Below are 11,050 nucleotides of genomic sequence, written 5' to 3'. Positions count from 1 at the left end.
CTACTGTATTTAAGACTATACCAAACCCTATGAAGGGTTTGGTTCTCTATGAAAGCCAGATCCTGTTGGCCAAAGGTGTCAGGGGCTTCCTCACAATCTGCACTCATATCTTGCACGTTTCACCAAGATCCAAATGGTCTGGTACTTGGAGCAATCTTTGTTCATGCACCTACAAAGTCTTGCTACTTTCTAGCTGTGTGTCAGTAAGCAAATTACTTGCCCTTTCTGAGCACCTGGTTTTCTTACCTGAAAAAAAAAAGGTGGGGGAATAATAATTTGCACCTCTTAGGGTTGTGTAAGGATCAAGAGGCGCACTGCCTGTGAAGTGCCAGCATATAGTCAGTGCTCAACAAACAGGGGACATTGTCATCCATACTGTCTTATGACCAAGAAACTTCTGGGTTGGCCAACATAAGATTTTTTTGCCTGCCTTGAAAACTTTTCCACCCAAGACAAAGGTCACGTACTCAGATGCCTTCAGGCCGGTCAGGTAAGATAAATAAGAGAAGAGGGTGTGGTAGAAATTAGGCAAACTGGAGAGGAGCCCAGGCTGCTTGATCTCTGGCAGGAATGCAAGGCTCGAGTTCAGATCTTCTGATTTTTCTCCTCTAAGGAAAGCCATAAATCTGGATTTTTTTTGTGTGTAAAATGACTGGATCTTTTAAAATGTGGCAGTAAGTCCTTTTGCTAAAAAACAGATGCAGACAAAACCAATGTGTAGAGCTTTGCAGGGAATGGCAGGTTGGTGTGCTGAAAGATGACTCGTTATAAAATGATGTTTACATGGAGAGTAGTGGGGGTCTGCATGAGGGGAGGACAGGGGTGTGGGGCACAAAATGGGGGTGGGCTTTGGAGTTTGTATCTTGTGTGTGGCCTCAGGAGTGGGTGACTGAAGTGAGTCAATCCCCCAGAGATGAGGGGCCTCAAGAACAGGGAAGCCAGCATGGGGCTTTCTCAACAAGGACATGGGAAGTGCCCTGAGCTGCCAGGGAAAACCATGGAATTCATGCCAAAATCTTTAGTGGGCAAGCGAGGTGACCCAGCGACAGATACGGGAGGACCGGAAGGTAGGAGACTGGGGAGCACAAGCTTCGAAGGGAAAGCAGGGGTTACGATGCTACCTCAGAGAGGGGCTTTGCAATCTGCATGGAATGATTGTGCAAAAGGCTTACCACCAGCCTGGCGCACACAGATGCTCAACAAATATCAATTCAAGTAATTTATTGATTTTCACAATAAATACTTCCTGGGGGTATACTATGTGCCAGATACTAGGGGCGAGCAAGATCCCAGGGTTCCTTCATTGAGGGAACAGAGAGGGCAGTGGAGAAGCCAGGTGAGTTAACGAGCACTTGCAGGACAGTGTGGTAAGGACGATGGGCCATACACAGAGCCAGGGGACGGAGAGAGCCTCCTGGAACCCAACGAGCAAATAGGACAAGCATGTGAAAACGGAGTTGGACTACTGTCCCGACAGGGGAAAGGTTCTGGAAGCTGGAGGCTGTGAATCAGCAGAGCAATGGAGGAGCTGAAAAAAATGCGGCAGAGCTGTCTCCCAGCTGACAGGGGTAGCACGCAGGAGCTTCCCAGGAGTGAGGTTTCTCCCAGGACCTAGGAGATTCCATAGGAGGGTTTAAGTAGAAAAATGCCCCTTAACCAGCATTTATATCACCCAACTGTGTGCCAAGCACTCTGCAAATGACTATAAAATTATAGGCACACTTAATTCATGTAATCCTTCTTCTCCCCCTCCCCCTTTCTCCTTCTCCTTCTCCTTCTCCTTCTCCTTCTTCTTCTTCTTCTTCTTTTTGAGATGGAGTCTTGCTCTGTTGCCCAGGCTGGAGTGCAGTGGCATGATCTCAGCTCACTGCAAACTCTGCCTCCTGGATTCAAGCAATTCTCCTGCCTCAGCCTCCCGAGTAGCTAGGACTACTTGGAAGAATAAGGGAAGGTCTAATAGCCAAGACATAAAAACAAATTTAGGCAAGCTGTGATTTAAAAAAAAAAGTCAATAAGGCATCTCAAAAATTTTGTAATGGAAATAAAAAATTAAGCAGATGAGCTGACAACAAAATAATCACAATTTGTAAGAATTACTGAGCTAGGAAGTGAGTAGGATGATATATTCAAAGCACTGAAAGAAAAAACTGCCAACCAAGACTACTATACCTGACAAAACTGTCCTACAAAAATGAAAGAGAAATAAAGACTACCAGACAAATAAAAGCTGAGAGAGTTCATCACTAGACCTGCCTTACAAGAAATACTAAAGGAAGTTCTTCAAGTTGAAATGAAAGTATGCTAAATAGCCACACAATATTAAAAGAAAGTGTGAAACTCACTAGTAAAGGTAAATGTATAGACAAATATAGAATACTGTAATACTGTAATGGTGATGGAGAAATCACTTTTAATTCTCCTATACAAGTTAAAAGAAAAAAGATGGAAAATAACTATAACTGGCCAGGCATGGTGGCTCATGCCTACAATCCCAACACTTTGGGAGGCCAAGGCGGGCAGATCACTTGAGGTCAGAAGTTCGAAACCAGCCTGGCCAACATGTTGAAACCCCACCTCCACTAAAAGGATAAAAAATTAGCCAAGCATGGTGGCACATGCCTGTAATCCCAGCTACTGGGAAGGCCAAGGCAGGAGAATCGCTTGAACCCCAGAGACAGAGGTTGCAGTGAGCTGAGATCACACCACTGTACTCCAGCCTGGACCACAGAGCAAGACTCTGTCAAAAAAAAAAAAAAAAAAAAAGAAGAAGAAGAAAGAAAAGAAAAGAACTATAACCAAAAATATATTAAAATATACTCTTAATCCATTTACTGTTGCTATAACTGAATACCTGAGACAGGGTAATCTATAAATGAAAGAAGTTTATTGTTTAAAGTTCTAGAGTTGGGGAAGTCCAAGGTCAAGGGACCACATCTGGTGGAGGCCTTCTTGCTGGTGGGGACACCCTGCATAATCCCAAGACAGTACAGGACATCACATGGTGAGGGGGCTGAGAGCGCTAGCTCAGGTCTCTCTTCCTCTGCTTATAAAGCCACCAGTTCCACTTCTGTGATAATCTATTTACCCATTAATCCATTAATCCAATAATGGATTAATCCACTCATGAGGGTAGGGCCTTCATGATCCAATCACCTCTTAAAGGCCCCACCTCTCAATACTGCCACACTGGGGATTAGGTTTCAACATGAGTTTCTGATGGCACAAATATTCAAGTCTTGGCATATGCACAGAATTAAGAGATATAAATTATGACAATAATATAAAGTGTGATGGGGGTAGAAGTTAAAGTGTAAAGCTTTTGTACATGATTAAACTTAAATTATCAGCTTAAAATAAACTGTCATAACTATAAAATATTTTACCTAAGCCCCAAGGTAACTACAAAATAAATACCTATAGAAGTTACACAAGGGCCAGGCATAGTGGCTCACCCCTGTAATCCTAGCACTTTGGGAGGCCGAGGCAGGTGGATCACCTGAGGTCAGGAGTTTGAGACCAGCCTGGCCAACATGGTAAACCCCCACCTCTACTAAAAATACAAAAATTAGCTGGGCATGGTGGCGCATGCCTGTAATCCCAGCTACTTAGAAGGCTGAGGCAGGAGAATCACTTGAACCCAGAGGGCAGAGGTTGCAGTGAGCCGAGATTGCCCCACTTCACTCCAGCCTGGGTGACACAGCGAGACTCCGTCTTCAAAAAAAAAAAGAAGAAGTTACACACACACACACATACACACACACAAAAGGAATCAAAGCATAGCAATACAAAAAAATAAAACACAAGGGAAGACAGCAAGGGGGAAAAGACAGAAAAAAACCCCACGAGGCTATCAGAAAACAACTAACAAAATGGCAATAGTAAATCCTTTTCTATCAATAATTACTTTAACTGTAAATGTCGGTATGTATCACTATACCCTCTTAGGACTGCTTTTGTTGCATCTCATAAGTTTCACAACTCAACTGACTGGGAAAAAAATGACAACCTAAGCCCAAAGTTAGCAGAAAGAAAGAAATACCAAAGATTAGGGCACAGATAAGATTGAAAAAAGAAAAACAATAGAAAAAAATCGGCCGGGCACGGTGGCTCACACCTGTAATCCCAGCACTTTAGGAGGCTGAGGTGGGCTGATCACCTGTGGTCAGCGGTTCAAGATCAGCCTGACCAACATGGCGAAATCCTATCTCTACTAAAAATACAAAATTAGCCGGGTGTGGTGGCGCATGCCTGTAATCCCAGCTACTTCGGAGGCTGAGGCAGGAGAATCACTTGAACCTGGGAGGCAAATGTTGCAGCGAGCCGAGATCGTGCCATTGCACCCCAGCCTGGGCAACAAAGCAAGACTCCGTCTCAAAAAAAAAAAAAAAAAAAAAAAAAGGAAAGAAAAGAAAAAAATGAACAAAACTAAGAATTAGCTTTTTGAAAAGATAAAGAAAATTGACAAATCTTTGGCTAGACTAACTCAGAAAAAAAGGTAAAACAGTTAAGTGAGATCAGAAAAGAAAGAGGAAACTGTAAAATTCCTAGAAGAAAACACTGAGGAAAATCTTTGTGACATGGATCTTTGCAATGATTTCACAGATATGACACCAAAATCACAGACAACAAAAGCAAATATAAAAAGTGGGACTACATCAAACTAAAAAGCTTCTGCATGGCAAAGAAAAGAATCAAGAATGAAAGGCAACCTATGAAATGAGAGGAAATATTTTCAAACCATATGACTGGTGAGGGGTTAATCTCTAAAAAGTATAAGGAGCCAGGCACGGTGGCTCACGCCTGTAATCCCAACACTTTGGGAGGCCGAGGCAGGAGGATCACCTGAGGTCAGGAGTTCCAGACCAGCCTGGCTAACATGGTGAAACCTCATCTCTACCAAAAATACAACATTAGCCAGGTGTGATGGTGCATACCTGTAATCCCAGCTACCAGGGAGTCTGAGGCAGGAGAATCATATGAACCCAGGAGACAGAGGTTGTAGTGAGCTGAGATTCCAGCCTGGGTGACAAGAGCGAAACTCTGTCTCAAAAATAAAATATAATAAAATAAAAAATATAGGGAACTTCTACAACTCAATAGTTTAGAAAAAACTAATAACCTGATTTTAAAATGGGCTAATGATTTGAATAGACATTTCTACGAAGAAGACATATAAATGGCCAACAAGTATATGAAAAAATGTTCAATCCCTAATTGAGCACTAATCATCACTAATCATCTGGGAAAGGCAAATCAAAACAGCAATAAGCTATCACCTCACACCTATGAGGATGGCTATTACCAAAAACATAAAAGACAAGTGTTGGCCGGGTGTGATGGCTCATGCCTGTAATCCCAGCACTTTGGGAGGCCAAGGTGGGCGGATCATGAGGTCAGGAGATCGAAACCATCCTGACGAACACAGTGAAACCCCGTCTCTACTAAAAATACAAAAAATTAGCTGGGCATGGTGGCGGGCGCTTGTAGTCCCAGCTCGGGAGGCTGAGGCAGGAGAATGGTGTGAACCTGGGAGGCGGAGCTTGCAGTGAGCCGAGATCATGCTACTGCACTCCAGCCTGGGTGACAGAGCGAGACTCTGTCTCAAAATAAAATAAAATAAAATAAAAAGACAAGTGTTAGTAAGGTTGTAGAAAAATCAGAACTCTTGCACACAGTTGATGGTAATGCAAAATGTTGCAGGTGCAGCCACTATGAAAAACAGTATGGAGGTTTCTCAAAATATTAGAACTAGAACCGCCATATAATCCAGCATCCTACTTCTGGATATTTACCCAGAGGAATTGAGATCGGGATCTTAAAGAGATATTAGCACTCTTACGTTCACTGCAGCACTATTCACAATAGGCAAGATGTAGAAACAACCTTAATGTCTATTGACAGATGAATATATGAGGAGAATGTGGTATATACATATAGTGAAATACTATTAAACCTTTAAAAAGAAGGACATTCTGGCCGGGCACAGTGGCTCACGCCTGTAATCCCAACACTTTGGGAGGCCGAGGCAGGTGGATCATGAGGTCAGGAGTTCGAGACCAGCCTGGACAATATGGTGAAACCCCATCTCTACTAAAAATACAAAAATTAGCCAGGCGTGGTGGCGCATGCCTGTAGTCCAAGCTACTCAGGAGGCTGAGGCAGAAGAATCACTTGAACCTGGAGGCGGAGGTTGCAGTGAGCCGAGATCACACCACTGCACTCCAGCCTGGGTGACAGAGTGAGACTCCATCTCAAAAAAAAAAAAAAAAAAAAAAAAAAGGACATTCTTCAATATGTGACAAAATGGATAAAGCTTGAGGACATTAGGCTAAGTGAAAAAAAATCCTGTCACAGGACAAACTGCATGATTCCACTTATATGAGATGTCTAAAATGGTGAAATTTATGGAATCTAAGAGTGGAATGGCAGTTACCAGGGACTGGGGACTTACTAACCAGTAGGCATCAGGGTTCAGTCAAGCGAGATGAATAAGCTCTAGAGATCTGCTGTGCAACATCGAATCTCTAGTCAACAGTTAGGTACTGCACACTTAGAAATTAGTTAAGGGGAGAGATCTAATATTAAGTCTTCTATGACAAATTTTTTCTTTTTTTAAAAAGAAGGAGGTTAGAAAACAAATTTTTTTTAAACAAATGGAGGTGGAGGTTAGACGGCCAGCGTGGTGGCTCACGTCTGTAATCCCAACACTTTGGGAGGCTGAAGCGGGTGGATCACCTGAGGTTGGGAGTTCAAGACCAGCCTGACCAATATGGAGAAACCCCGTCTCTACTAAATATACAAAATTAGCTGGGCATGATGGTGGGTGCCTGTAATCCCAGCTACTCGGGAGGCTGAGGCAGGAGAATCGCTTGAACTGGGGAGGCGGAGGTTGCAGTGAGCCGAGATCATGCCATCGCACTCCAGCCTGGATGACAAGAGCAAAAACTCCATCTCAAAAAAAAAAAATGTAGGTGAAGGATATGAACAGACACGTCTCAAAAGAAGACATTTATGCGGCCAACAAACATATGAAAAAAAGCTCATCATCACTGGTCATTAGAGAAATGCAAATCAAAACCACAATGAGATACCTTCTCATGCCAGTTAGAATGGCGATCATTAAAAAGTCTGGAAGCAACAGATGCTGGTGAGGATGTGAAGTAATAGGAAGGCTTTTACACTGTTGGTGGGAGTGTAAATTAGTTCAATCACTGTGGAAGACAGTGTGGAAATACCTCAAGGATCTAGAACCAGAAATACCATTTGACCCAGCAATCCCATTACTGGGTATATACCCAAAGGAATATGAATCATTCTACTATAAAGACACATGCACACATACTTTTTTGCAGCATTATTTACAATAGCAAAGACTTGGAACCAACCCAAATGCCCATCAATGATAGACTGGATAAAGAAAATGTGGTACATATACACCATGGAATACTATGCAGCCATAAAAAAGAATGAGCTCATGTCCTTTGCAGGGACCTGGATGAAGCTGTAAACCATCATCTTCAGCAAACTAACGCAGGAACAGAAAACCAAACACCACATTTTCTCACTCATAAGTGGGAGTTGAACAATGAGAACACATGGACACAGGGAGGGGAACATCACACACCACGGCCTGTTGGTGGGTGGGGGGAAAGGGGAGGGAGAGCATTAGGACAAATATCTAATGCATGTGGGGCTTAAAACCTAGATGATGGGTTGATAGGTGCAGCAAACCACCATGGCACATGTATACCTATGTAACAAACCTGCATGTTCTGCACATGTATCCCAGAACTTAAAGTAAAATTTAAAAAAAAAATGACCATATCATTTTGCATACCCTTGAGCAGTATTTCAGAGTTCCTGTGACCATTTCTTTGTATTGTTCATTTTTTAAATTATTATCTTGGACATTCTAATAAGCATATAGCTATGTGTGTGTGTGTGTGTGTGTGTGTATGTGTGTGTGTGTATATATGAGGTAGACCATTTCTTTCTTTTTTTTGAGATGGAGTCTCACTCTGTCACCCAGGCTGGAGTGCAGTGGTGCAATCTCGGCTTTCTACAACCTCTGCCTCCCAGGTTCAAGTGATTCTCCTGCCTCAGCCTCCTCAGTAGCTGGGATTACAGGCATGAGCCACAACACCTGGCTAATTTTTGTATTTTTAGTAGAGACAGGGTTTCACCATATCGGTCAGGATGGTCTCAAACTCCTGACCTTGTGATCTGCCCCCCTCGGCCTCACAAAGTGCTGGGATTACAGGCGTGAGCCACTGCGCCTGGCCGGCTTCATTTCTTCCTAACATCTTCACATAGACAGACAAAAGAGGGGACAAAGTCTTAACAAAAATGGTTTTGTAAACACAAACACTGACCAGTGACTATTTTAACAATATGATAAAAACAGTATTATAAAAGGAAAACAAAAAAGAGGTTAGATAAAAAGAATTACTGAGCTGGAAAATTGAGCTGAGAGACCCTTCTGGAATGCAGCATGAGAAAAGAAAAATATAAATTAATATATTTAAGAGATATGAAAAATACATTCTGAAGTTCCAACATCCCTCTAATGGATGTTCCAGAAGAAGAAAACAGAATAGAATTTTTTAAATGTTAAAGTTACAAAATAGAACAGCAAATAATATAATACTATGTTACCACCAATCAATACTGACAATTTATTGTTTTACTACATGTGCTTCAATTAATTTTTTTTTTTCATGAGACCGAGTCTCACTCTGTCACCCAGGCTGGAGTGCGGTAGCATGATCTCGGCTCACTGAAACCTCCACCTCCTGGGATCAAGCGATTCTCGTGCCTCAGCCTCCCATATAGCTGGGGTTACAGATGCACACCACCATGCCCAGCTAATTTTTGAGTTTTTAGTAGAGACAGGGCTTCACCATGTTGGCCAGGCTGGTCTCGAACTCCAGACCTCAGGTGATCCTCCTGCCTTGGCCTCCCAAAGTGCTGGGATTACAGGCATGAACCACTGTGCCCAGCTCAATTAATGTTTTAAAAGAAATAAAACATTACAAACAAGGCTAATGGTCTTACTGACCCCAATCTCCTCCCTTTCCCTTAGGGCAGCAACCACCATCATAAATTTGTATATACTTTTCCAATACAATACACAGTATAAGAATGTATATAATATATATGATGCCTTTGTATGTGGCTTTAAGTAATAACATACTGTATGTAGGGTTCTGCAACTAGCTATTTTCACTCAGCACTATAAGTTTTGGCTTTCTCCACATTTATAAACAGCCAGTTAATTTCTGCACACTGCTATAGAACATTTCACTGTACAACTAACTATACCACATTTTTATATAGTGCTTTATTTATAGATGGACTTATGCAGTAGTTCCAAATTTTTACCATCACGAAACAATGAAACAATATAATAATAGTACATATTGCCTTCTGCACATAGATGAAGGTTTCTCCAAGTGTATATCTAGAAAAATTACAAAATGATAGGATTTGCACATTTCCTATTTTACTAGATTCTGCCAAATTACTCTTCTATTTATACTTCCACGAGCAGTATACAGCTCTTCCTATTTTCCTTATCCTCACCAATACTTATTATTTTCAGACTTTTTAGCTTTTCCAATTTCATAGGTGAGAAATTATACCTCACTATAATTTTAATTTGCATGACCCTGATTTCTGCTAAGGCTGATTATCCTTCACGGTCTATTAGACATTTGGGACACTTTTTCTGTGAACTTCCTCTTTAACTCTTTTTTCTATTGCATTTATATAGTCTTTTCTCATACACAAGTTTTTAATTTTTATATAGTCAAATTTATCAACCTGACAAGCCATATATATATATAATGTGTATATATATATATAATGTATATATATATAATGTATATATATATAATGTGTATATATATATACACACACATTTTTTTTTTTTTTTTGAGACAGAGTCTTGCTCTGTCACCCAGGCTGGAGTGCAGTGGCCCCATCTCAGATCACCACAAGCTCCGCCTCCCAGGTTCACGCCATTCTCTTGCTTCAGCCTCCCGAGTAGCTGAGACTACAGGCGCCCACCACCACGTCCAGCTAATTTTTTGTATTTTTAGTAAAGATGGGGTTTCACCGTGTTAGTCTCGATCTCCTGACCTCATGATCCATCCGCCTCAGCCTCCCAAAGTGCTGGGATTACAGGCGTGAGCCACCACGCCTGGCCCGAGTGATATAGTTTTTAAAGAATAGATGAATAGGCCAGGCGTGCTGGCTCAAGGCTGTGATCCCAACACTTTGGGAAGCCAAGAAAGGAGAATCCCTTGAGGCCAGAAGTTCAAGACAAGCCTGGGCAACACAGCAAGACCTCATTTCTACAAAAAAAAAACAAAACGCTGGGTGTGGTGGCTTGTGCCTGTAATCCCAGCTACTTGGGAGGCTGAGGTGGGAGGATTGCTTGAGCCTGGGAGGTTGAGGCTGCAGTGACCCATGATGGCGCCACTGCACTCCAGCCTGGGTGACAGAGTGAGACCCATTCTCAAAAAACAAAAAGAATAAATGAATATTTCTCAAACCCAAAGAAAAATGCGAGTCTTTAGAATTGAGAGGGTGCACTTGATGTTAAGCAGGATGAATGCAATAAACATCCATTGAGATGCAGTGTAGTGAAATTTCAGAATATGATTGAGAGTTTTTTGTGTTTGAGGCACAGGTTGTGCTTGTTTTTGCAGTGAGGCCCAGAAGAGAGACAGTGAGCTCTCTGGGCACTGGGAAAATCTAGCAAGGAAACCAGGAAGGTCTTGAGCATTCACAGGTCTTGAGCTGTCGATCGTGGCTGCTTTACAACTCACCAGGCTCCTTGAGACATTCCTGGAAACAGAATTCTGGAGACTCATTATTCGGAGCACGGATGGAAACATTTTGTTGTTACTGCTGTTTTGTTTTGTCTAACACAATAACTAGCAATGGAGAGGTTGCAAAGCATTGTTTACATATTTGGATGAATCATTAGAAACTGCTATTTTTGTAGAGTAAAAAATGGTTGAATGTTAGGGATTTCTAGGGTTGA

The 11,050-nt window shown here is 42.0% G+C and overlaps 1 long non-coding RNA gene across 2 annotated transcripts in view; it reads right to left on the bottom strand.

Moving 5' to 3' along the window:
* Positions 1–1,206: 1,206 nt before the first annotated feature.
* Positions 1,207–11,050, bottom strand: part of LINC02054 (long intergenic non-protein coding RNA 2054) — a 38,112-nt gene continuing 28,268 nt past the window's right edge. For both annotated transcript variants that reach the window (NR_161199.1, NR_161198.1), the window contains one exon: positions 1,207–1,611. This is a non-coding gene — a long non-coding RNA (long intergenic non-protein coding RNA 2054). The remainder of the gene's footprint in view (positions 1,612–11,050) is intronic.

This window comes from Homo sapiens, chromosome 3, assembly GCF_000001405.40.
Source record: "Homo sapiens chromosome 3, GRCh38.p14 Primary Assembly".
NCBI lineage: Eukaryota > Metazoa > Chordata > Mammalia > Primates > Hominidae > Homo > Homo sapiens.
Note: the sequence above shows the minus strand (reverse complement) of the source record. Positions and strands in the feature narration are given on the sequence as shown.